This window comes from Homo sapiens, chromosome 3, assembly GCF_000001405.40.
Source record: "Homo sapiens chromosome 3, GRCh38.p14 Primary Assembly".
NCBI classification, from domain to species: domain Eukaryota; kingdom Metazoa; phylum Chordata; class Mammalia; order Primates; family Hominidae; genus Homo; species Homo sapiens.
In genome coordinates this window covers 150,095,164-150,120,665 of record NC_000003.12, presented here as the reverse complement: position 1 = coordinate 150,120,665, position 25,502 = coordinate 150,095,164, and the positions used below count along the sequence as shown (strand labels likewise).

General features: G+C 38.7%; 1 long non-coding RNA gene across 1 annotated transcript in view, besides 1 other annotated feature; it reads right to left on the bottom strand.

Annotated features, from left to right (window-relative positions):
* LOC105374313 (uncharacterized) overlaps positions 1-24,223 on the bottom strand; it is a 54,559-nt gene extending 30,336 nt beyond the window's left edge. The window contains exon 1 of the long non-coding RNA NR_136187.1: positions 24,069-24,223. This is a non-coding gene — a long non-coding RNA (uncharacterized LOC105374313). The remainder of the gene's footprint in view (positions 1-24,068) is intronic.
* Positions 13,221-13,809: an enhancer, noted in NCBI's record as "NANOG-H3K27ac hESC enhancer chr3:149824644-149825232 (GRCh37/hg19 assembly coordinates)". NCBI's record gives its function as "activates a minimal SCP1, AML or CMV promoter by ChIP-STARR-seq in naive H9 embryonic stem cells {active_cell/tissue: H9 hESC(naive)}" and the evidence as "EXISTENCE:reporter gene assay evidence [ECO:0000049][PMID:30033119]".
* Positions 24,224-25,502: the final 1,279 nt, after the last annotated feature.

Below are 25,502 nucleotides of genomic sequence, written 5' to 3'. Positions count from 1 at the left end.
TATGGTAGCATGTGCCTGTAATAACAGCTGCTCGAGAGGCTGAGGCATGAGAATTGCTTGAACCTGGGAGTTGGAGGTTGCAGTGAGTGGAGATCACGCCACTGCACTCCAGCCTGGATAACAGAGAGAGACTCCATCAATAGAAAGAAGAAAGGAAGGAAGGAAGGAAGGAAGGAAGGAAGGAAGGAAGGAAGGAAGGAAGGAAGGAAGGAAGGAAGAAAGAAAGAAAGAAAGGAAAGGAAAGAAAGATGGAAGGAAGGAAGGAAAGAAAGGAAGGAAGAAAATTGAAGTAATCTTGAGCACAAATACAGTATGTCAATCACTAAATGAAAATTGCATTAAAATTCATAATGGAGAGGGAGGGTGAGCAATTGCCAATTCACCTGCTCCCATTTTTGATAGATCTTGAAATATCCCCCATCCCCAACTTTGAGTGTGTAATCCTACTTAAAAAATAGCAACTGATCATTAAACATGACTTTGCCCTTTTCTTCATAAAACCATGAAATGAGGATAGAATAAATCAGAGATTGCATGCCCAAAAGCTTGTCAGTTCAAATAGTAATACTTGTTTTTATTACTGAATATGGGGCTTTTTTTTTCTATGTCTCCTAGAATGCCAAAGCCTTCTGTCATACAACCCATACCACGTCACCCTGAATATCCAATATCCAGTCCCTCTCTTAGGTTGTGTTTCCTCTTTATGCATGCTTTGGTGAGTTAACCCACTAGTTATTGGCCAGAAGAAAGCAGTTGTTTAGATAATGTAACTTGTTGACCAAAACAAAAACAAACAAACAAACAAAAAGCCAAACTCTAAAATATTTAAAGAGGCTTATTCTGAACCGAATCTGAGTGACCATGACCCAGGGTGGGCATAGTCCCAGGAGGTCTTGAGACCATGTTTCCAAGGTGGTTGGGTTACAGCTTGGTTTTATACATTTTAGGGAGACTGAAGTTACAGGTGAAGACATAAATCAATAAATCAATACCTATAAGGTATACACTGGTTCAGCCTGGAAAAGTGGGACATCTCAAAGGTGGAGAGGGAAGGTGGTACTTACAGGTCATTGGTGGATTCAAAGATTTTCTGATTGGCAATTAGTTGAAAGAGTTCAGCTTTGCCTAAATGGTTGAAGTCAGCAGAAAGAAATGCTTAAGTTAAGATAAGAGGGAAAGGGGGTTGTGGAAGCCAATGTTCTTGCTATGTAGATGAAGCCTTTGAACAGCAGGCTTCAGAGAGAGTAGACGGTAAACGTCTCTTTTCAAACCTTAAAAGTATCAGACTCTCAGGCAAATCTCTCCTGGATCAGGAAAAGACCTAGAAAGGGAAGGAGATTCTCTACAGAATGCAAATTTCTCTCTCAAGAGACAGCTTTGAGGACCGTTTCAAAATATGTGAATGAAATATATTTTGGGGTAAAATACTTTTGATTTCCTTCAGGGTCTGCTATGTGCCATGTGATGCTATACCTGAGTCAGGTGGGAATTTGGTTTTGTATTGCCACAGAGAGTCTGTGTTGTCAGTCTTATGATCTCCATTTTAATGTTAATGCCAGTCAGTTTTGCCTAAACTCTAAAGGGAGGGGGTTATAACATACCACCCTTCCCCTCATGGCCTGAACTAGCTTTTCAGGTTTCTTTGGGACTCCCTTGGCCAAGAAGGAGGTCCATTCAGTCTGTTGGGAGCCTTAGATTTTTATTTTTGGTTATGTCTGCCTATTAATGTTGATCAAAAAAGCCTAACTCTGTAAAATATTTAAAGAAATTTATTCTGAGCCAAATATGAATGACCATGGCCCAGGGCACCATCCCAAAATATGTGCCCTGGGCCATGGTCACTCATATTTGGCTCAGAATAAATCTCTTTAAATATTTTAAAGTTTGACTTTTTTTTCATCAACAAACTTACTGAGTACTTTATATACATTCTCTCTAATCCTTCGCACAATTTTGGGTGTTATTATCTCTGTTTTGCAAATCAGAAAACTGAGGATCAGTGAGGTTAAGACCTGTATTTATAAGACTCAAAGTCAATATTTAGATATGTCCTTGTCTTTCATCTTTCCACCTGGAATATGTCTGTGCTGAAACTTATATTCTCAACCCAAAGTTATAGAGATGTATTAAATGGTGCCTGGTATCCTTAGAGTACTCATTCTTATTGGGAGGCTATTTTGCCCCTCAGGGGACATTTTGCAATGTCTGAAGACAACTGGAGTGAGGAAGTTACTATTAGCATCTACTGGATAGAGGTCAGGAATGATGTCAAATACCTTCCAACACACTGGCAGCCCGATACAGCAAACAGCAAAGCTTGAGAAACCTGCCTTGCAGAGTAGTTGCCCATCATAATAGTGTTTATTAAGCCTATGAGAGTGTTGAACTATATTTGAAGGTGGCAATGAGGAATAGTTGAAAATATATCAGGAATCAGAAGTTCTATGTTCTAGTTCCAGATCCAGGACTAACAAAACCTCAATTTCCCTGTGAGTAAATTGGTGACAATAGTATCTGTTTTATCTATTTATTAATTCATCAAATTTTTATGTATTACCTTCTATGCATGAGGCAGTACTCTAGATATGGAATGTGCAACAAGGAAGAAAATAGGCATCATCCTTGCCTTCAAGCAGCTTAGTGGAAAACAAAAATAAATAGAACTATGGGGTACTGTGGAGCACTCTGGTAACCTAGCAAAGAGAAACCTAATTTAGTATTGTATAGTCAGAGAAGTAACCTCTTAGCTGACAATCAGAAAAAAGAATTTAGGCAAGCAAAGGAGAAGGAGAAAAAGTAGAGGCTAGGACAGTGTTTGCAAAAGCACAGGTGAGAAAGAGCATGGAACAATCCAGGAACTGAAAAAATATGCAGTATGACCAGACAGTAGAATGTGAAGGGAGGAAAGAGATGTGCCCGGGGAGGAAAGCAAAGGTCACCTCTTGGGGAGTTTTGAGGGTCAGCCTAAGGAGGATGGAGGCAAAGGGAAAAAAATGAAAGGTTTTAAAAGCAGGGGACTGGCATGGCGAGATTTGAATTTTAGAAAACCATTTAGGCTGCAAGGTGGAGAATGGATTCTAGAGACTGTGAGACCAGTTGGAAGTTTGTTACTGCTGTCTCAGCAAGAGGTCATGGTGGCCCACAACTCAGGTAGAGGCAATGGGATAGATAGAAGCGATTGCATATAAAAGAAGTTCAATTAATTCTTAATGCTGAGGTGTTGACAGTGTTGACAAGATATCCCTGTCTTAGAGCAGCAGAGTTTCCAGAACAAGGGATGACTGCCACTGCTGTGTCTGAAAGCTGGAAGTATCTCCAGTCCGCTCACCAGTTTGGATTCTGTGCAGGCCTGTGTCTTTGCCTCATTACAGTGAAGTTTTGTGGTGTCTGAATAGCAGGACCTAGGTCACATGTCCACACTCAAGCTGCAGGGAATGTTGGTAAAGTGAGTCTCTGGCATCTCCTTGAGAAGAATGCCCTAAACTTGGAAAGAATGCTGCAAGAAGAAAGGCAAATATGCCCCTACAGTAGCCATGGAGAGTGATTTGCTAGAACCTATTTAGAAAGCAAACCTGAAAATACCTTACAAATTAAAAATATTCTTTCTCCTAAAAACCCCACTTCTTGGAATCTATTCCCTAGAAGTAAAATTATCCATACTTAAGAACATATGTGCATTGAGATATTATGATAGCATTGTTCTTCGGGCAAAAATTTGGTAACAAAGTGAATGTCTTTCAATGAAAAAGAGTTGAGTAAGTTGTGCTGCATTTATGCCACTAAATATGCACTCAACCTAAAAAAAACTGAGTTGGAGTTAAACCCAGTTGGGACTGGGACTCTGAAAATCTGAGAGGGACATGCTGAGCCACTTCAATATACATCTCCTTATATGTAGCATAGATCTTGATGTGTACCACCTCTCTGGGAATGAGGTGAGAGGGGTCTTCTTAGTACCACTGGCTCATCCCTCCTCCTCATTCAACACTCCCATCCAGATTCAAACTGCTGCAAGTCTAGCTCATAACTGCTGTTTCACTTTGGAACACACTCTACCCAAATAGGCTGGCCCACCGATAATCTCAAATTTACCAAGCTTCAGTTTACTCAGTTTCCCATGGAAGTGTGGCTCCTGGTCTTGAATCTATTCTCCACGACCATTGGGCCCAGTGGGCTCTGTGACTCAGCCCCATCCTGCAGGAAGCAAAGTAGCAGAGAAGCACCCGAAATAAATTCCTGGATCTGAGCTAAAATGCCTCTTCCTAGAATTCCTGAGTAAAAGCTTAATTGTATAATAACAGCTTGGTGGTCTGTCTCAATCTGTTCAGGCTACTGTAACAAAATACCATAGAGTGGGTAGTTCATACAACAGATATTTATTTCTCACAGTTCTGGTGGCTGGAAGTCTAAGATCAAGGTGCAGACAGATTCAGTTTCTGGTGAGGGCCCTCTTCCCTGTTTGCCGATGGTTGTCCTCACATGGTGGGGGTAGGGAGTGTGCTCTGGTTTCCTCTCCTTTTTATAAGGGCACTAATCCTATCATGGAGAATCTGCCTTTGTGGTCTCATCTAAACCTATCTACCAAAGGCTACGTCTTCAAATACTATCACATTGAGGGATGGGGTTTCAACATATGAATTTGGAGGACACAAATATTTATGTCTCTGAGGCATTACAGTATGGTCATTAAGAAGACAGGCTCTGGAGCCAGACTAAATCCTGGTTCTGCCACTCACCAGCCATGTGACCTTGGGCCAATTACTTAGCCTTTGTGTGCTCCAGTCTCCTCATATATAAAATGGGATAGGAACAGTACTATCTCATAAGGTTGTTATGAGGCTACGTTAGTTAACACATAATACATCTATAGAGTATGTCTCAGACATACAAAGAGCTCAATAAATGTTATCATCATCATTCCCTTCTGGATCCAGGTATGCCTCAAATTAATCTCTTCCCAAAATACTCAACCTGCAGGTAACCCAGCAGCTTTCTTTCTCTCCCAGCCTTTGGTAGAAATTCCGAGTTTAAAAACTAAACAAAGCTGTATTTATTACACAAACAATATTACAGTAATGGGGATTTATAAAGGACATGGCTGAAATTCCTGGGGGTGGGAGAACGAGGGAGGGATTTTAGAAGTTCACTACAGCCACCCCAGTTTGGAGGGTGCTCTACCCCAGTAGCGTTCTGTACTTGCAATGTTGCTATTTTCCATTTTCTAAAGCTTTATTTAACCATTGTAATTTGTGGCTTTCTCCAAGACTAAGTATAGAGCAAAACATAATAATGCAAACTGGCTCATGCTGAGCTGAAATGAGTAGTGTTCTCTCACCAAATCCTCTTGTGAGCTTTAATAACTTCTTTAATTTCTCTGTTATTTTCCAATATTGTATACCTATTCCAGAAGTACTCATTTTGTCTTTCCTAAACCAACTTTCCTCTGCTGGGAAAATGACCAAATTATTCCACTCCTGTCCTCCTGCCACACCTCTAGTTTTTGGTTTTTCAGCTCCCATTCTGGGGTTTACAACCAATTTAGCAGTTGTTGATCATGGCGAGAGTGTATAATTGAGTCAGTACTGGAGATGAAATGACTCATCAGAACAGTTCATGAGAGGGAAATGATTTTCAGGACAAGGGGAGAGAGAATGAGTGAGATTATACATACACATTGTACTTGCTTGTGGGTAATAGAGTGGACTCCAATGTAGAGTAAACTCGGGTCATTTTCTTTGATCTTCTGACACACTATTCCTTTTTAAAAAAATTAAAGATTAGCCTCTAACAGAAGGCAAGGAAGTTTCTTGTCTAGATTGAGTTGTGGAGACTGTATTTAGAATATAAGCTCTTAGAAATAGCAAAATACTAACGCAGAGTATGTCATGGGAACTCAGAAAATGTGAATTAAAATCTAGAGACAGAAAGAAAGAACCATGCTTAAAAAAGATAGTGGGTTGGTCAGTGATTTCTTACGGCTGCTCTCACAGATTACATGCAGTAGCCGTGTCCTTTTCTGTATTTAGATTTTCCTACCAAAAGGGGACTATGTGGACATTTCAGAGTCCCAGTATAAGAAGGGTGAGTAACTTGAGCTGAAGTTTAGGATGAAAGGAGCAGGAGAAATCTGGCTCCTTGCTGGGATGCACGGGGCTCTGGAGTACCTTCCAGGAGAGTCTGAGATGCCCCCCTACCCACATTCCTTCCAGACCTAATTGCTTACATTTCCTTGAGCACTCTGTGTGCTTCAGCTCCTCTGTGCCTGAAGCATCTCTCCTTTGCACTCACTGCACCCACCCAAACCCAATTCAAATAATGCCAAGTCTTCTCCAGCTAGAATTAATCCCCTCCTCCTCTGCATTCTCTTGGCCTGTCTTATCCTGCTCAGTTCTAATGATGCTCCTGAAAGCAGGCCCTGAGTAAAGGATTTGGGTATGAGAATTTATTCAGGAGGAGATCCCAGGAAACACTGTGAGGGAGTAGGAAGTGAGACCAAGAATGGAGAAAAAGCCAAAAAAAGAGTGCTTTAATGAGCAGATTACTGCTATGAGCAAAGAGGGCTCAGCACCATTGGGAATGCTCTGAGTCTGAGTGGAACATGCTCAGTGTCCTACTGAAGAGCAAGGAACTGCCACCTTCATCGGTGGTGAGTTGTTCTGGAGACTAAGTCTCTGGCACTTACAATCCACCTATAAGGCACTGAGCTGCTCTAAAGCTAAAGAATGCCTTCAGGTCAAAAAATGCTAGAAGTTATAGCCTCTAGGGGACTTCCCACCTGTGAAGGGAAGGGGGTGGTCAAGGGGATAGGAACTTGACAAGGACATCCTGCTATAATGATTGCCTTTGAAGGCAGAGAACAAACTTTACTCATCTTTATATATCCAAAGTATCCAACCTGCAGCCTTATCCCAAGTAGGTGCTTAATAACTTAGTGAGGTTGGTTCACACTTAACACATCTGATGAAGCAATGATACATTCAACATGTGTATATCGAAACGCCTATTATGTGCCAGAGAGTTATCAAACAAGCCTTGTCTCTGTCCTTCAGAAGCTGACAGTCTCACAGGAAAGACAGGCAATCAGCAAATAATTACAATGCAGGGGGACAGGTATATTGACTGATATGTCAATGTATGTTTCACCCCTTGATACTACCACTATGGTACAAAACCTATCATTTAATTTTCAGCAGATTAGATTTTTATTTTCAGGGAAAGGGGAGTTTATTTCTCCTATAGAGGATAGGGACAGGGTATGATATTGATGACATTGTTTTTGGTATGATTTCTGGGTTAATGAACATGGATTTGAAATAGCCTACTATTGACTGGAAGCCTTACTGATAACATAAACAGTTGATTAACATGTATTTTGTATGTGGTATATATTATATACTGTATTCTTACAAATAAGCTAGAGAAAATAAAATGTTACTAAGAATACCATAAGATAGAGAAAACACATTTAATATACATTTACAGTACATTATTGTACTGTATTTATTAATACCATAAGTTTATGTTATCTGTTTATAAGATGAATTATCTGTCTGAAGCAGTGGGCAAACACAGCGGCAGACCTCAATCTTATATCAAGCAATTCAACTGTTTTGTAATGTCATGACCTCTCTGTGCTTCTTGGGGATACTTCCAGTATCACTAGTGGCACTTTGTATGGGTCCCATGGTATTATTCAAGATTTACGGTATGCACTCAACAAAATGAAAAATATGTGAGAACCACAAAAGATCACTTTTTTACTGTGATACACAATTTACTGGAGAGGTAAACTGCTCACGTAGAGATGATTAGCATCACATGATGTTTTAAGTGGACACACGCAGCACTTGTGCTCACCATGACAGCAACAGGGAATGGCATTGAAATTATTACAGTAGTATAGGATGTGCTACAATTAATTGTATGTAGTTATAATTTAATACTGTATCTTTTCATTTGCTTACATTTCTCTTGACTAAAAATGACACCGTGTACAGTCTATGTAAGTTTTGATAAATTTTAATTTTTTATAATATATGTATATTTTATAGTAATACATGACAAAATATACTAGTATCTACATATATTTTATGCATTCATACCATGCCTAACTTTTTCTTAATTTTAAAAATATTTCTAGGCTACATAATTCATCTGCAAGTTTCTTCAAATTGTTGCAAACCTCCAAAAAATTGTCCAATATATTTATTGGAAAAAATTTGTGTATAAGTGGACCCGTGCAGTTCAAACCCATATTGTTCAGGGATCAGCTGCCCCTTACCTACAGAGAAGCAAAAATAAGAATTATATCCAACGTTTCCTCAGAAACCCGGCACGCAAGAGTAAAATAAATTGTTGAGTGTTGAGAGAAAAAACTGCCAAACTAGAATTCTTTACCCTGAAAAATTATCATCTTTTAAAAGTGAAAGAGAAATAAAGCCTCTCTCAGAGAAACAAAAACTAAGGGAATCTGTTGTCAGCAGACATGTCTTGCAAGAAATGTTAAAAATAAGTTCTTCGGAGAGAAGGAAAATAATATAAGTCAGAAACTTGGACCTACGTGAAGAAAAGAAGAACTTCAGAGAAGAATTAAGTGAAAGGAAAACAAACATTTTATTTTCTTATTCTTTTTTTCTTCTTCTTCCTTTTTTTTTTTTTTTTTTTTTTTTTTGAGATGGAGTCTCGCTCTGTCGCCAGGCTGGAGTGCCCTGGTGCGATCTCGGCTCACTGCAACCTCCGCCTCCTGGATTCAAGCGATTCTCCCGCCTCAGCCTCTTGAGTAGCTGAGACTACAGGCGTTCGCCACCATGCTCAGCTAATCTGTTTTTGTATTTTTAGTAGAGACAGGGTTTCACCATGTTGGCCAGGATGGTCTCCATCTTTTGACCTCGTGTTCCGCCTGCCTCGGCCTCCCAAATGCTGGGATTACAGGCGTGAGCCAACTTGTCCAGCCTATTTTTCTTATTCTTAATTGATCTAACAGTCAGTTCAAAATAATAACAGCAACAATGTGTTCAACTATATGCCAATATATAAGTAAAATGACAGCAGTGGGTCGGGCGCGGTGGCTCACGCCTGTAATCCCAGCACTTTGGGAAGCCGAGGCGGGCGGATCACGAGGTCAGGAGATCGAGACCATCCTGGCTAACATGGTGAAACCCCATTTCTACTAAAAATACAAAAAATTAGCCGGGTGTGGTGGTGGGCACCTGTACTCCCAGCTACTCGGGAAGCTGAGGCAGGAGAATGGCATGAACCCGGGAGGCTGAGCTTGCAGTGAGCTGAGATTGCACCACTGCACTCCAGCCTGGGCTACAGAGCAAGATTCCATCTCAAAAAAAAAAAAAAAAAAAAAAGACAGCCGTGATACAAGATGCGGGAGGGAGGAATTACAAGTATTTTGTTATTATAAGAGATTAAAATTCAAAAATTAGCCAGGCATGGTGATGCATGCCTGCAGTCCCAGGTACTTGGGAGGCTGAGGCAGGAGGATTGATTGAGCCTGGGAGGTTGGTGGAGGTTATAGTGAGCCATGGTTGCACCACTGAACTCCAGCCTGGGTGACAGAACGAGACCCTTTCTCAAAAACAAACAAAAATAGTTATTCACACTATCCATGAATTGGTACAATGTTATCTGATAAAAGTATAATGTATATGCTAAGAAGGGGCAAATAGAATTATATAAAATGCTCAATTAAAGCCATAAGAGGTAGAAAAGAGAGGAAGATAAAAATAGAAACAAAGAACAAGAGAAATTAATAGAAAATGGTAATAAATATGGTAGATATAATCACTTTAAATGTCAATGGTCTACCTACACTAATTAAAAGACAAAGATCCTCAGAGTGGATAGAAAAAAGGACCCAACTTCATGTTGCCTATAAGAAACCCACTTAAAATATAAAGAAACATGTAGATTAGAAGTAAATAGAGAAAGATAAACCAGGCTAACACTAATCAAAAGAAGGAGGAGTTGCTATATTAACTTCAGAAGGAGCAGGCTTCAGAGCAACGAAAGATATTAGGGATAAAAAGGGGCACTGCATAATGATAAAAGGATCAATACATCACAAAGACATAACGATCTTTAATGTGTATGTGTCTAACAACCAAATGTCAAATACCTGAGGCAAAAACTGGTAGAAATGCAAGAGAAATAGATGAGTCTGCTATTGTAGTTGGAAACCTTAACACCTATCTATCAGAAGTGGACAAATCCAGCAGGCAGAAAATTAGTAAGGGTATAGTTGAACTCAACATCACCATCAATCAACGGGATATAATTGACATCTATAGACTACAGTCATGCGTCACGTAACAATGGGAATATGTTCTGAGAAACGCATCGTCAGGCAATTTCATCATTGTGCAAACATCATAGAGTATACTTATGCAAACATAGATGGTACAGCCTACTATGCCCCTATGTTATAATGGTGTAGCCTATTGCTCCTGGGCTACAAATCCATAGAGCATATTACTGTACAGAACACTGTAGGCAACTGTAAGACAATGATAAGTATTTGTGTGTCTAAACATACCTAAACATAGAAAAGTAATGTGTTATGCTATGATATTACAACATCACTAAGTGATAGGAATTTTTCAGCTCCATTATAATCTGATGGGACCACTGTCATACATGTGGTCCTTTGTTGACTGAAACGTCATTATGAGGGGAATGACAGTACTTCTGTGGAACATAAAACACACCCTAACAAATTTAAAAAATGAGAAATCATACAACTTCTACTCTCAGATCACAATGGAATTAAACTAAAATGAATAACAGAAAGATGTCTGAAATCCAATGTACTTGGAGATTAAACAACATACTTCCAAATAATATATGGGTCAAAGAAGAAATCTTAAGAGAAATTTTAAAACATTTTGAACTAAATGAAAATTAAAATAAAACATCAAAATGTGTAATATGCAGCAAAAGCAGTGCTTAAAAGAAAATTTATTGAATTGGACACATATATTAGAAAATAAGAAATATATAATAAAGGACTGTTATATGAAATATACGAAGAACTCTTCAAACTCAACAATAGAAAAATAACAACCTTATTAAAAAGTGGATAAAAACCTGAACAGACCCCTAATCAAAGAAGATAGATATATATGTAAATAGTCTGTTCCATATATATATGGAAAGTGAACATATATAAAGATGTTCATCATATTTCATAAGAGAGTTACAAATTAAAACAAGTATTAGAATGGCCAAAATACAAAACACTGACAACTCCAAATGCTGGTAAGGATGTGGAACAACAGGACAACATTTATTGCTGGTAGGAATGCAAATATTGGAAGACAGTTTGGCAGTTTCTTACAAAACTACACATATTCTTACCTAAAGATCCAACAATCACACTCCTCAGTGTTTATCCAACGGAATTGGCAACTCCACACAAAAACCAGCACATGGATGTTTATAGCAGCTTTGTTCGTAATTGCCAAAAATTGGAAATAACCAAAATGTTTTTAGTAGGTGAATGGATATAAACTGTGGTATATCCTTATCAAGAAATATTATTCAGAGCTAAATAAGTTATCAAGTTATCAAGCCATGAAACATTGAGGCAACTTGAATGCACGCTACTAAGTGAAAGAAACCAATCTGAAAAGGCTACATACTATATAATTCCAACTATATGACATTCCTGAAAAGGCAAAACTATGGGGACAGTTAAAAGATCAGTGGTTGCCGGGGTTGAGGAGGGAGGGCAATGGAAGATTTTTAGGGCAATGAAATGATTCTGAATGATACTACAGCAGTAGACACTGATAAACATCATCATACATTTAACAAAACCCATAGAAACATAACACCAAGAGTGAATCCTAACGTAAACTATGAGCTTTGGGTGCTAATGATGCATCAGTGTAGGTTCATTGATTGTAATGAATGTACCACTGTGGTAGGGGATGTTATTAGTACAGGAGGTTGTGGGACAGGGGGATATGGCAACTCTCTGTACTTTCTGCTCAATTTTTCTATGAACCTAAAACTGGTTTAAAAATAAATTGTATTAATTTTAAAAAAGTCTTTGACTGAATTGTTAGAAACACAAACCTGTATTTTGCCAAATTAAAAATAATTCTTTTTTTGTACCATGGTACAACGAATTAACTTTTGGGTGACATAATTTGACATGAGAATTCATGGTGCCTTTTTACATTTATATTTAAACTAAATATAATTCAATAAAGTACTTATTATGGATTCTACTGCCACTCACTTTGACAAGTACTATTGAGAAATATTAATCTTAAAATACATAGTTCAGAGATGCTAGATCATCTTTATTCATGAAATTATGTTCCCAGAAACAGTCTAGATTTCATTTACACAATTTGTGCTGCCCTGCATTTCATTTCCACATTTGTATTCTCTGCCTCCCCTCCTAAGCATCCCAAGGGCTCACATAATGGTATATGATTTGCAATATACATAGAGAATGTTCCTAAATTGCTTTGGATTTGAAGCTCAGAGTACATATTGGTGGGTAATTGTTAAACTTTTTACTATATTATTCCAAATACCAGTAATAATTGTTTTCCCAGTCTTATCTATCAACAAAAGAAATTTTATCCACAGAGAGATTAGGGAACTGCATGATCATCGTCTGCCAGACTCTGTATGAAGAGAGTAGTGAATTTGGGGGCCATTTCTTGCCTAACTTCTTTTTAGATTCAGAGGACATTTCACTGACACTGCTGCCTTCTCCTGCAGCTTACCCTGAACACACACATATTTCTCAGGAAGTGGGATCAAGACTTTTTATTTTGTTTTTGTCTTTCTTCTCCCTACTTTGTCTTTATTGAGCATGTATCATGGGTGTAATAAAAACATTTTTTAAAGGGGTAGGATGTTTGCTTGTTTGAAAAGCTTCTAGATGAGAGCTCTAACACAGGAATTCTTAACTGCTTTTTCTCTACTCTCCCCTTAAGCAGCCCGGGGAAGCCTATGACAGCTTCCCAGTAGTAGCACATCCACTCTAGAAGGAGAAATGCCTGCTGATTTGAACAGAATGTCAGCCTGGGTCACACCATGAACTGAGTTGGGGCAGCAAATGGATAGACAGATGCACAAACAAAGGAAAGGAAAGGGCTAAAAGTTCATTATGAACCTCATGAAGCGAATGAGAAGCTTCAGGTGCCGTGCCTGCTGCCTTAGTACAACACACGCCCTTTCAGGTGACCAAGCCCATCTTTTTCATCATGTGAGCATTTCAATCAGGACGTTTTAAACATTAAACTTCCCCACTTTCCATAAGGCTGGCTTAATTTGCAGACCCTGACAGATGACATTTCTCACAGTGTGTCCCTCCCTGTTGGGGGTGGCACAGGACTCCAGGCCTAGCATCATCAAAGCCCTGCCAGAGGCTTATGGCTTAAGCACATCAGAATGACCTGGGCCTGCCATTTGGTGGGGCCCCAGGGCATTTGGGGGCAAGACAGGAATTCACAATGAGAAAGTTACTTGTGGCCTCAGTTGGAGATCCTTTCAATTAAAGCTTTTAACATTTTTCACAAGCAACCCCCAGGGATTCATTCTCATCACCAGCTTTGATGGATGGCAGGCTCACACAGCAGATGACTCACCCAGCTCACTGCAAACACTATCAAAACCCATCCACTCTTCCTTCTCCAAAAAGCCCTGTAGGCTCCTGACAGGGCCAGATCAAGAAGCTCTAAGAAAAGTTAACTTTACTTAAATAAATGCTGCTTTCAGCAAACATTGCTCATAGTTTGAATTTTTTGTCTTTGAGTCATTAAAAAATGAAGAAAACAATGTCCTGTGGTCTTTTAATAGATGGTGCGTTCTCTTCACAGACTGGGCAGCAATGTGGTATCAGGAAGCAAAACAGGCCTGATTAAAATTCCAGTCCTGCTACTGACTGTGTGACTTTAGGCAAGTTGCTTAATTTCTCTACACTCCTATTCCTTCATCTCTGCAATGGGGCTAAATAACACCTACCTCACAGTGTTCATTCTGATTCAAAGGAGGGACCTCGTCTGTACCTAAGGTATTGTTTCTTTTATTCATGGGTCTAAGTATGAAGAACAGTATGTATGCATGATGCATGTGTCTATCCGTCTATACCCACACATATGTATACACACACATATCAGCTAACATCTAAGACCTGAATAATTACATATAAATATTTCAGATTTCCAGTTTCTCTTGGAAATAAATCAGAAGATCTGGCAACATGAGGTTGAGTTTGATTGGCAGCTGTCCCTCAAGTCGTGGCAGGTACACATGGTCCCACCACTTCACTTAGTTTGTGAACAGCCTGTCCCCTTTGGTTATTTGACTGTGCTATTTTCTGTCTGCATCCGCCTCTATACCACAGGTCTTAATGGCAAGAACTCTTCAGAAAAGCAGAAGCAAACTCCAGTCAAATAGATTGGGGGTGGGTAGGCTGGGAGTTACTTTCAATGAGGGGCCTCCTTTGTCTTTCACCGTGTTGAAGAGTTAAACTCGGAAGAGAGGAATTCAGAAAGGATGAGTCAATTTTTTTAATTAAGAATTTTTTTTTGGCACAGCCCTGGTCAAGAAGGCTCTTTGCCTTTCTCCACAGTTGCCCGGCTGAGCAGACGGTTTTGTTGGAAGTGGGAATAAAGCTATGGGTCCCAAACATATTTCAGCAATGACAGTGCTTCTCCATGTGGGCACTATCCATCCCTAGGGAGTATATTAACTTGTCAGAGTTTTTTTGGTGGTCACAGTGCTTGGAAGGACACCACTTGCATTTGGTGGGTAGGACTAAGATGGTAGAGTCCCTGCAAAATAAAGGATTTGCTGCATGCCCCACAACTTTTGGACATCCTGCCAGATATTTGTATGTTTATAATTATCATATTAATAATTATCTGAAAAACGTACTTATAATTATCTTAACTAAAATCCAACCCCATTATGCATACAAAGTGTTTTCAAACAGTCTTAAAAAGCACTGAATTTTCTAGGAGTTCAGGCATGGTGTAAAGTGAGGAAAGAGTATACTTTCTTTGTTCAGAAATTTACTAAGAGCTGGTTCCAAGTTCAGAAACTAGCTGAAGCCATCACTGTTTAAGGTATTCTGGCTGACAATCCAGCCAACTGAGTCAGTCTGCCTGTATAGATGCCTCATTCAGCATGTTTTTACCTATAGTTGCAAATGTCTGACAGTTTCATTAGGGATAATATAGAGTGTGCTGCAATGGAGAACTGTGCACCATCTACCTACACCCCTCCAGGTTATCTGGTTCTAATTACATGGAGACTATGCTACAACTTGGTAAAATATAGATAACTGAGAACAATGCAAAATAATTTTTGTCTGTAGACATGCAAATTCTGACCTATTTGGTAAATGTTCAATTGACCTCTCTACCCCACTATTAAAGAAGTTAGTTTTGCCTTCATTTGTACATTCATTTCAATATTCCTGATCTATAAATGTGTCCATTATGTGGTTAGTCTCTTAAACAGGTTATAACATTTGCCTGGTTCCTCATTTTGAGTTAATTAAAATATACAACATATGCTCATTTTTATATCTGGGTGAGAGTCATGATTTTATCTTTTTTTAAAAAATTATCTTTAAACAGTAGTCTTGTCTCGGCATTTGCAAATTGAGATACATATCTTATTAAAAATGACTCTCTATTTTGTTCTCCTGTTATAACAGGATGTTATATTTATTTTTAAATGTGTCATATATAAATTTCATTCCAGTATACTAAAAGGGGTGTTCAAATATTTGTTATAAAAGGGAGCGTGGGACCTGACAGGGTTTAGAATCACAGATTCCATCAGAAATTCTCTGAACAAACCCACATATGTAACTGATCAGCTGGGTCATTATTCTTCCCAGTCAGACAGAAATATCCAGAGCTCCAAGTGATTTACAGCAACCACTGGGCTGTGAATTGTTTTGGGAACTTCTCACCTTTCCCAAGTCCAGCTTCATTTAGATAGGACAATTACAAAATAGCTATTTATGAGTACCACTGACCTGCACTTCTTTCCCCATCATCGAATGCCAAGGCTATACCATACACACAGCATTGTCAACTGGCCACCTTCGGTAATGTCAGAAAAGATTAAATGAAGACATTTTATCTTACTTCCCCTTCTCTGATTCATATTTTTTTATCCCAAGATGAGAATACTCCAGAGTGTTCATTTTCCACATCACATACAGGGAAGCCTGGTCCTGACTTGCAGCCCTATAGTAAGTCTTAGGACAACTATTCTAATACATTCATATGTTGCCACATTTTAGAATCCAAAAGGAATAGGATTTCAGGCTGAAATTTCTTTAACTCAGAAAGAAACAATAAACCAGCTCACCCATCTTGATACCACTTCACCCCTAGCTGCTGGCTGGGAATGGCCTCAGCTGACAAGGATGAATGAAAGAGAAAATAGATCCACTCACGGTTGTGTACTACGAAAATATCCTTATTTCAAGATATCACTATACTTTTTTACTTAATAAACGCACTTACCCCCAGAAAAGTACAGAACACTTGGCAAATAAAAATAAATTTCAGAAAATTTATAAGCCTGGCTTATATATTGCTTTATTTAGAGGATAATTCTCACATTTTTTCCTTCCACCTACCAAAAGGAACATGCATAATAAATGAAACTAAGCTTGGCAGGAAATCCATCAATAAGGTTAATTTAAAGTGTAGGCAGAATAGCAAATCTCCATATGGCTATCAAGGGGTTTGTTCTTGTTTCAAAACCAATTGACTTCCAAACAATGTAATATGCCTTTCTGAAGAAACCAGATAGAAGGAAATCCCAGCCACCTAAACATCCACATCCCCATCATGATAATACAGCTCCTGGGAATTCATTTTTAGGGTCACTTAAAATATAAGAGCAAGGCTGTTTGGCTTCAAACTCTGGCTTCCTCACAAGCTTTATGATGTGGGTTAGATACAAAAGCTCCATAAGTCTCAGTTCCCTCACCTGTAAAATAAGGAGAATATACAATGCTGTGTAACATTACATATTATACACATGGTTCAGATGACTGCATTAGATAATTCATAAAAATGTTTAACAATGTGCCTGGTATTATTGTAATTGTGAAATATTTAAGACTTGATTTTTTTCCATGATGTAAATTGGTGATAGGGTGAGTGCCATAACAGGGAGAGTATCATTTTAGAGATTAATGATTTTAAAATAACAGCTCCTTCAAAGGGAGGATCAGGAGATAAGGCCTGGGCAAATGGTAGGCACTTTTGTTTTAGAGCATGAATGAACTTGGTTCTCACTAAGCCTTTACTCTTTTCTTGGCCTAAGTCCTCTACCAAAAACCATACTAGGGGATGGCCCTGAACCACAATGAAAACAAGACAACTTTCCGGTTGATTCCATTGGGAGTTAAGTATGCACATACAACACAAAAAATGGGAATCTTGGGAAATGAAGGTTTTAAATGTCTGCAGCAGTGAGGTGTTAATATTTGTTTTTTGGTAACTGGCGATACTATATGTTGCCATGGAGTTTCAGTCATTACAGGGCAAATGGTGTCTGAAGATGTTAGTTGAGTCTAGGGATATCTTTTCAATAAATGAAATTCAATCAAGACACATAGAATTTGTGCTTTTTCAGAGTGGACAAAAGGCAAGTTGCAGACCTCTGGGTATAGTATGATACCATTTTTTTGTTATTTTGTTAAAAAAAAGAGGACAAAAATAATATCACAACTGTGTGTGTGTGTGTGTGTGTGTGTGTGTGTGTGGTATATGTCTAAGCATAGAAATTAAGTCTAGATGGAGACCCATCAAATTTTAAATGTGGTTTTACCCACAGGAAGATGGTGAAGATGAAACAGACATCAAACAGGAGGCAATTCCTTCTTTAAATTATGTTGCTTTATAAACAGTTAAGCAGCATGTACTACTTCTACAAAAGGAAGGAAGGAAAAGAATAAGGAAGGGAGGAATGGATTACTTAAGTTCTCCTTTTTTCCCCTTTTGTTTCCTCTCTAAGATCTCTTTCAGCTCTAAAAGTTTGAGTCTATGTGTAAAGAAAAAAAAAATTATAAGAATACAAATGACTATCAAGGGTATATTCACAAAGGCAACTTTAACAGTATGTTCGTTGCCAGTACAAATTTATTCCATTTAAGTCTGCTGTTTGAACTGACCCTAGAACAAAAATTGTCTTCCAAAACACTAAAAAACAAACAAACAAAAAAGATTGGGAATGGTGGCTCACACTTGTAATCTCAGCATTTTCAGAAACCAAGGCAGGAGGATTGCTTGAGCCCAGGACTTCAAGACCAGCCTGCACAAAGTAGTGAGACCTCATCTCTACCAAAAAAAAAAAAAAAAAAAAAAAATTAGCTGGGTGTGGTGATGTAGTCCCAGCTACTCAGGAGGCTGAGGGGAAAAGATTGCTTGAGTCCAGGAGGTCCAAGCTGCAGTGAGCCTAGATCATGCCACTCCAGCCTGAGTTACAGAGTGAGACCGTATCTCAAAACAAACAAACAAAAGAAGAAAATTATACTCAGCATAGTTTTGCTTCAGCATCTTTGAGTTTATTGATTGGAATGTGGCAATCTCTAAAAGATATAGCAGATCATATTAAACAAGTCAGAATCCATCTGCCCAAATGCCCCCACCCTTCCCATCTCAACCAGGTAAAGCCCTACTCAACACTATTGATTAAATTCCTAGCTGTAGAGTTCAAAAGTCATGTTTTTATTCTAACTTTGCTGCTTAGCTGATTACCTCAGGCAAGCTAATTAACTTCTCAAAGCTTCAGTTTCCTAATCCATAAAACGAAGAGAATTAAAGCCTGAGCAATCAGACAAGAAAAAGAAATAAAAGGCAAATGAGAAAGGAAGAAGTAAAATGATCTCTGTTTGCAGATGACATAATGTTATCTGTACAATGTCCTAAAGATACCATATACACCAAATAAATAAATAAATAAATAAAGCCTTATTGAAACTAGTACACTAATTCAGCAAAAGTTGCAGGATACAAAATCAACATACAGAAATCAGCTGCATTTCTATACATTAACAATAAACCAAAAAAATTAAGAAAACAATTTCATTTCTAGTAACATTAAAAAGAACAAAATACTTAGAAATAAACATAAATAAGGAGGTGAAAGACTTGTGCACTGAAAACTATAAATCAGTACTGAAATAAATTAAGGAAGATACAAATAAATGAAAAGATATCCTATGTTCATGGATTGGAGGACTTAATATTGTTAAGATGTCATACTACCCAAAGTTATCTATAGATTCAATAGAATCCCTATCAAAATCCCAATGGCATTTTTTGCAGAAATAGAAAAATTTGCCCTAAAATTTATATGGAATCTCAAGGGAACCTCAATAACCAAAACAATTTTGAAAAATAACAAAGTTGGAGAACTTCCACTTCCTGATTTCAAAACATTACAAAGCTTCAGTAATCAAAACAATGTGGCACTGGCATAACACAAATGGACCAATAGAATAGAATAGTAGCTCAGAAACAAACTCTCATGTATATGGCCAAGTAATTTTCAACAAGGATGCCAAGACCCCTCAATGAGGAAGAAAAAAAATCTCTTCAACAAATGGTGTGGGAAAAACTGGATATCTGCATGCGAAAAATAAAGTTGGGCCCTTACCTTATACCACGTACAGAAAATTAACTCAAAATGGATTAAAAACATAAATGTAAGACCTAAAATTGTAAAATTACCAGAAGAAAACAGGGGAAAATATTCATGACATTGAACTTGGCAATGATTTCTTGGATATGAAAAATGATTTCTTGGATACAACAGAAGTATAGGCAACAAAAGCAAAAATTAGGCAAATAGAACTATGTCAAACTTAAAAATTTCTGTGCATCAAAGGACACAATCACTGTAGATTCTGTAGGTAACCTACAGAATGGTAGAAAATATTAGCAAATCATATATCTGATGAGGGATTAATATATAGAATTTATAAAGAACTTCTATAACTCAACAACAAAATAATCAAATAACTCTCAGAAAATGGGCAAAAGACCTGAATAGATGGTTTTCTAAATATGATATGATATTCAAATGGCTAATATATGAAAAGATGCTCAGCATCACTGATTATCAGAAAAATGCAAATCAAAACCACAATGAGATATCACTTTACACTCATTTGCATGGCTGGTGTCAAAAAGCAGAAAATAACAAGTGTTGGTGAGGCTGTGGAGAAATTGGATTGCTTGGGCACTGTTGGTGGGAATGTGAAATGTACAATCACTATGGAAAACAGTATGGAGGTTGTCAACAATTTAAAAATAGAACTACCATATGATCCAGCAACCTCATTACTGGATATATACCCAAAATAATTGACAGCAGTATCTTGAAGAGGTATTTGCACACCATGTTCATAGCAGCATTATTCACAAAGGCCAAAAAGTGAAAGTAACCCATGTATTCCATTCATCGATGTATAAATGGATTAACAAAATGTGGTATATACAAACAATGGAATATTATTCAGCCTTAAAAAGAAAGGAAATCCTTTTGCACGCTACAACATGGACGAACCTTGAAGACACTATGCTAAGTGAAATAAGCCAGTCACTCACACACAAAAATACAGTAGGACTCCACTGATCTCTGGTATCTAAAGTAGCCAAATTCATAGAAACACAGTAAAATGGTAGTTACCAGGGGCTGAGGGGAGATGAGAAGGGGAGTTGTTGTTTAATGGGTATAGAGTGTCAAATTTGAAAGATGAAAAAGTTCTGGACATCCATTTCACAACAATGTGAATATACTTAACACTATTATGCCGTGCAATTAAAAATGCTTAAGACAGTAAATCTTATACAACATCCTTTTAACACAATAACAAAAAAAGAAGAAAGTTAAATGAGGTGCATGTGAAGGAATTAGGAGGGTGCTTGGCATGTAACAAATATACATTAAATACTAGCTAGTAGCTATTAATGGGATTATCAGATGCTACCCCTCCAAGACAATTCCTTCCCTTCCATCCTCTCCTCAGCCTTTCCCCACAGACACAATATGTTATTTTCCAATCTGTACTTATATTCTGTCCTGTTTTATAGCTTTACACTTTTGTACTGTCAAAGTCAGGAAGAGTGGATTATTCACCATTGTGTTCTTTCCTGGGTCCTACCTGTTGACATGCATATAATAGGTCCTCACTTTTTTAGAAGTTACATTTTTTTCTCTTTTCATTACAAGTACTGTACATCATTAATATAGCAAATGTGGACAATAGTAAAATAGAAAATGGGAAAAAAATCATCCTAAATCCTACCACTTAAAAGCAATTAGAGTTAATATTTTATTTTTTTCAGCAAATACTTCTTGAATTAAACAGTTAAAATAAGATGCTAACTTGCCTTAAAAGGAAGGTAGGATGTGGATATAAGTTTGGAAATTATCTTCCTTGGAGGTATTTCAGGGTAGGCTGAGGCACCTGGTAGCCAAGAGCTTGATGGGGAAGTTGAAATAAAGGAGATCATGTAACTATGATAATATGAATACAGCTCCTTTACTCAGTATATAATGCATGTAAGTCAGAGATTATTTACCTAATTAATGAGGGAACCAGCAGGATGATAAAGCTGGTTCAAAAGAGGATACACAAGATGAATACATACTTAGTAAGAGACAAGATGTTGACACCACCAAGTTCCTAAAGTAGATATGAAACAAAGCAAAAACAAAAGCAATATAACCGTAACCTCTATGGTTATCTGTTCTACTCAACAAAAACTATTTGCATCCTCTAGTAGACCAAATCATGTGCAACTTAGTTAGTTAATATCTAACTTTAGGGGAACTGGATGCAAATCAATAGCCAATTGTGCCGGACAAAGTTCCTGCCCTACAATGTCACATGACCTTGGGTAGGCCTATTGGACAGCTCTCTGCTATGACATTGAAAGGCACACAGTCATTCATCCTCTTGCCTTATTTCTGAAGTTTTGATAATTTTTCTTTACTGGGAGCGTCAAGTCATTGAATAATTATTACTAACAAATATCAAACATTTATCATGGACCAGGATTGTGCTAAATGCTTTCCATGCAATATCTCACTGAATTCTCACCACAACCCTGGAAGTAGTACTATCATTATCTGCTTTTACAGACTCTTCAATAGAAGTCTCAGAAAGGTCATTTCCCCAAGGTTATATGGGTAAGAAAGTAGCAACCCAGCCTCAGGCTTAGCTCTGTCTGCCCAGCCCTAATTATTAATACAACAGGAGTCTCCACAGTGGGATGCAGGCACTGCAGAGATAACATGAGAGGAGGCATTAGGGTGTAGAGAAAAAAGAGTGGAACTTCCATTGAGGGTGACTTTAACTCCTATTCTTTATAGTTCCCATTACATAATTTTTAAGATGTATATATTAATATATGAGGGTGTCTTAGTTCAGTCCTGCTACTATAACAAAATTCCACAGACTGGGTAATTTATAAACAGTGTAAATGTATTACTTACAGTTATGGAGGCTGGGAAGTTCAAAATCCAAATGCCAGCAGGTTCAGTGTCTGGTGAGGGCCCAGTCTTTACTTCGAAGATGGTGCCTTAAATGCTGTCTCTTCCAGAGAAGACGAACACTGTGTCCTCTCATAGTGGAAGGGCACAAGAGCACAAAGGGCCTAGCTATTTTCCTTTAATGCTTTTATAAGGTGCTAATGCCATTGGTGAGGGAGGAGCCTTCATAGACTAATCACCTCCTAAAGGCCCTACCTCTTAATACTGTTGCATTGGGGATTAAATTTCCACGTAAATTTTGGAGCGGACGTAAACATTCAAGCCACAGCACAGAGATACATGGACAAACATACATGTGAGAATCAAAAAGTTTTGGCACCTTCTGTTGTAAAGCCTTTAGTTCACTGAGGCTGTGGTTTACTCACATTTTCACATCTGCTACTTGGCATTTCTGACTCACTTCTCTAACCTTACTCATCTTGTTTTCTTAAAACATTTAAGATTTTGATATCCAGCTGTGTGGATTGAGAGCCTCACACCTCTTCCTTGCAGTGCGAAGGGGATAGAGCATTTTCATTTCTAGAGAGATTAGGAGATGCTGGGTGGTAGCATTGTTATCTTCCTGTGCCCTGGCTGGGAAGTCTTGGGGAAGGCAAATCCACTTTCCCATTCCTTTTTGTCCCTGGCTCTGGGCTTTGTGAGGGTGGAGGGAAGAGAGGTTTACCATGAAACAGAGACTGGTTTACACAACATGATTCTCAAATTTTCACACAGTGCTTTCAGAAATCACATTGGTGGGTGGCTAAAGTGATCTGAAGATGAAAGAAGGGAAACAGCCCAGGTCCTAGCCTTGGAAAAAACAAAGAGCAATGCAGGCTTGATGCAGAGTCCGCAGGAATTAAAGAGATTTGTTTCTGAAGCAAAGTGCCAGGATTCTCCCCAGTGCCAAACGGAGGAAATGCTTGGTATTTCTGGAGCAAAGCACTCCAAGTGTGCTGTAACATCAGTATTATTGGGCATTTTTTGAAATTACTAGTTACACTTGGTTGAATAAATGCTCCTAAATGCAATTAATGTATTATATGTTAACTTCATGGATAAACTAAGAAAAAATAGTCATTATCTTGTCTCTCTAAGAGATACTACAAAGCAATATGCACATACTGAGAGGCTTTGTGTTGTTGCCACAGTTGTAGGAGACAAACAAGGAGAGACCAGAGTTCCCTGGCCCAGCTGGGGATGTCCCTTCAGCTCCCCAACACCCACACACAGACTGCTTCATGCACAGCCCTTCCCCCAACTTGGAAGCCCCCGTTGAGAAGCTGTGTTTGGGTAAGTTGGGAAGTGCAGCTTCCTGCCTGGTCCCAAATGCACCCCCAAAAGCAGATGACCTTCATGGACCTCCCCAAAGGTGGATGATGGCACAAAAGTAGAGTCTGATCCCAGGAAAAAGGACGAAGCCTCCAGAAATAGTGTGGCTTTGACTCTCAGCCTCCCACTGCAGCTCTCCTCAAACCAATCCTCATCGCTTTTTTAGAAGAATGAGATAAGCTCACCAGATGATTTCCTCTGGGCTTCCCTCTTCAGGATTATGAGGAGACTCCAGAATGGATTGTGAGTACTGGGTCTCAGTTCCCCTCTGCAGAGAAGATTTGCCATTTGCTTGACAATTCGTTGTGCCAGGTACTGTACTTAGAAGGCTTCACTCCTTTGTATAGCCACTAGCAGTGGATGTACTACCTCCTTGTGAGGTCCCTTGGCAACAGCATAGCATAATTGGGGTATTGTTAGCTATGCAGAACCTCACCTGACCCAAACCCTGCTGAAACAGACTACATTTGAATTAGATTCTTCAGGTGATTTGGAAAGGCATTAGCTGGGAACTACTGATTTGAACTGTTTGAGAAGTTAAACTTTATTTAATGGATCTGAGATCAAATTCCAGCTCCACCACTTGCTATGTGACTTCAGCAGAACCACCCAGCTAAACCACTCTTGAATTTTTTTTTTTTTTTTTTTGAGATGGAGTCTCACTCTGTCGCCCAGGCTGGAGTGCAGTGGCGTGATCTTGGCTCACTGCAACCTCTGCCTCCTGGGTTCAGGCGATTATCCTGCCTCAGCCTCCTGAGTAGCTCAGAATACAGACACCCACCACCATGCCCAGCTAATTTTTGCATTTTTAGTAGAGACGGGGTTTCACCATGTTGGCCAGGATGGCCTCGATCTCCTGATCTTGTGATCCACCCGCCTCAGCTTCCCAAAGTGCTGGAATTACAGGCATGAGCAACCGTGCCTGGCCTGAATTCTTGACTTGCAGAAACTATGTGAAATAATAAATATTTATTGCTGTTTTAAGTTACTGCAGTATGGGATTATTGATTATGGCACAATAGGTAATTAATATGCCTGCTATAGTAGCCAAATATATATACAGTCTTTCCCAATAAAAATTTTCATATCTAAGATCAATCAAAAGAAATAAAAAGAAGGAAATAAAATTCTTTTTCACTGGCACTTAATAAAGTATTCCAATATTACAGAAAAGCATAAAGCACACAGGTCCAAGATAAGAAATGTTAGCAGAGGGGACATATCCTTCCCATGTCCCCTTAGTTTTCCATCGAAGGGGTTGATTAACCACTTCATTTGGGGAGGGTTCCCTTAGCATTTTCTTCCAGGAGCATCTTTATGTCCCTTCACACTCTCATCCCTGGGGGAGCCAACTTAACTGAATGCTGCATTTGGGAGAAGGGCCTGAAAATACTCAGCTCTGTCTGGTCCTCTCAGCTACAGAGGGAGGCTGACTCTGCAACTTCACACATAAGCTTATGGAAATGGCCCTTGCAGGGAAGGCCTGAAGTGGTCCAGTATGTCCAAAGAATCTGTACAGGGTCTTAAACTGAGTGGAGTGTTAGGACCCACGTGTTCACATGCTTAAGCCATGTCCTCTGAGCCAGCTTTCATCAGTAGCAACATGGCACTTTGATTTT